The 1,505-nt window shown below is 31.7% G+C and overlaps 1 annotated feature.

Moving 5' to 3' along the window:
- Positions 241-1,007: an enhancer, noted in NCBI's record as "OCT4-NANOG hESC enhancer chr6:96250823-96251589 (GRCh37/hg19 assembly coordinates)". NCBI's record gives its function as "activates a minimal SCP1, AML or CMV promoter by ChIP-STARR-seq in naive and primed H9 embryonic stem cells {active_cell/tissue: H9 hESC(naive and primed)}" and the evidence as "EXISTENCE:reporter gene assay evidence [ECO:0000049][PMID:30033119]".

The raw sequence follows: 1,505 nt of genomic DNA, 5'->3' as shown, positions 1-1,505 counted from the left end.
AGATATGGAGAGGTTAAATAAATGTTCCAAGGTCAGGCAGACAGTATAGTAGCAAAATGGGAAATGAGATAAAAATCCATTTTATAGGAGGTAAAAATATGTTTTATAGGTATTAAAAATACATTTTATAGGAAGCATAGACTTCTCAAAAAGAGACCAAAGGAAAGTCATTAAGATAGCTTCAAAGGTTATAGTAATTATCTCTACTTTAAAAATAATTAAAATTTTAAAAATAACTTTTATATTCTCCATTCTGTTTAATTTATTTTTTAAATTTAGTATCAGCAGAACCTTAAGTTTGGCAAAAGATAATAATAAGGAAATGAAGAGAACATCATTTTAAAATATAATAATGGTTTTCCAATTCAAATACAAAGCTAAAATAGTATGATTATTTCATATTACTTTTTGGTTGTAATAAAAATAATAAAACCAATTTTTACAAGGCTGAAAAGAATTTCACTAGAACACTGATTTTCTTAATATTTTAAACAAAAAATTATGTTTCCTTGAATATAAATGATCTGATCCCAACACAGGGCCACTTAATTAAAGGATGACTTTTGTATTATTAAAGCTTATCTATATGTATGTATATAGCTTTTGCATTCAACTAGTTGACTAGGGAAGGCTTTCAAAAGATTTAAGAGGTATTCATTTGTTGAACTAATGCTTTATATTCACCTTTGGGAAATAGTTTAAGCCTGCTGTGTCAATTAGCTTAATTGATAAGAACTTCAATTGGTCCTGGAGTGTGTTAATTTCCTGAGGTGAGCCTATTGAGAGAATTACTTAGAGAAACTTTCACAGTTGGGAAACCTTTCAAATGCACTTGACTTAATCTGGGATTGGGTTACCACACTTTCACACATATTAGATGCCCCAAATAGTCCTTACTTTAGCACCTTTGATGTCAAGACAATCTTCTGCTCCCTCTTTCTCAGTTTTCTTCTGTCACTCACTTAGACAAGAAGGACAAAAATTAATCCTGATTGTTACAAAAGGTAAAATTTTCAGTGCTTGAAAATTGCTCTTTAGTGTAAGGAAGAACTTCCTTAAACTTTTCTCAAAATTATAAGATGTGTAGTTTGGAGGTGGGTTACGAATATGCCTATATGTGCTTCTGTTTACCCACATAGATCCTTTACATATGCAATACTATGTTATCATAGCAGATCTATGAATTACTTATTTCCATTTTATAAATGCAACAAACCAGGCTCAGAGAAATTAAATAACTATTTAAGGCTGCATAGCAGAGCCACACATTAAATCAAGTTTGGAAAACTCTGTTCTTTTCTCCACATTATGCTATCTTGTTAAAGATGAGCTGGGCAGTAGCTTTGAGGCATATGCTAAAAGAAATTCAAGCAATTGTTGGGAATTTAGGGAAGGGTTGGACTAAGGTCTTGCACTTACCTTTGAGTCACTTGACGGCCTATTCTCTTTCTGAAGTGTCTGAAAATTAATGAGATCTCTCTCTCACTCTCTTCCGCCCTCTCTCT

The sequence above is a fragment of the Homo sapiens genome, chromosome 6, assembly GCF_000001405.40.
Source record: "Homo sapiens chromosome 6, GRCh38.p14 Primary Assembly".
Taxonomy (NCBI): domain Eukaryota; kingdom Metazoa; phylum Chordata; class Mammalia; order Primates; family Hominidae; genus Homo; species Homo sapiens.
This window is presented reverse-complemented; position numbering and strand designations above follow the sequence as displayed.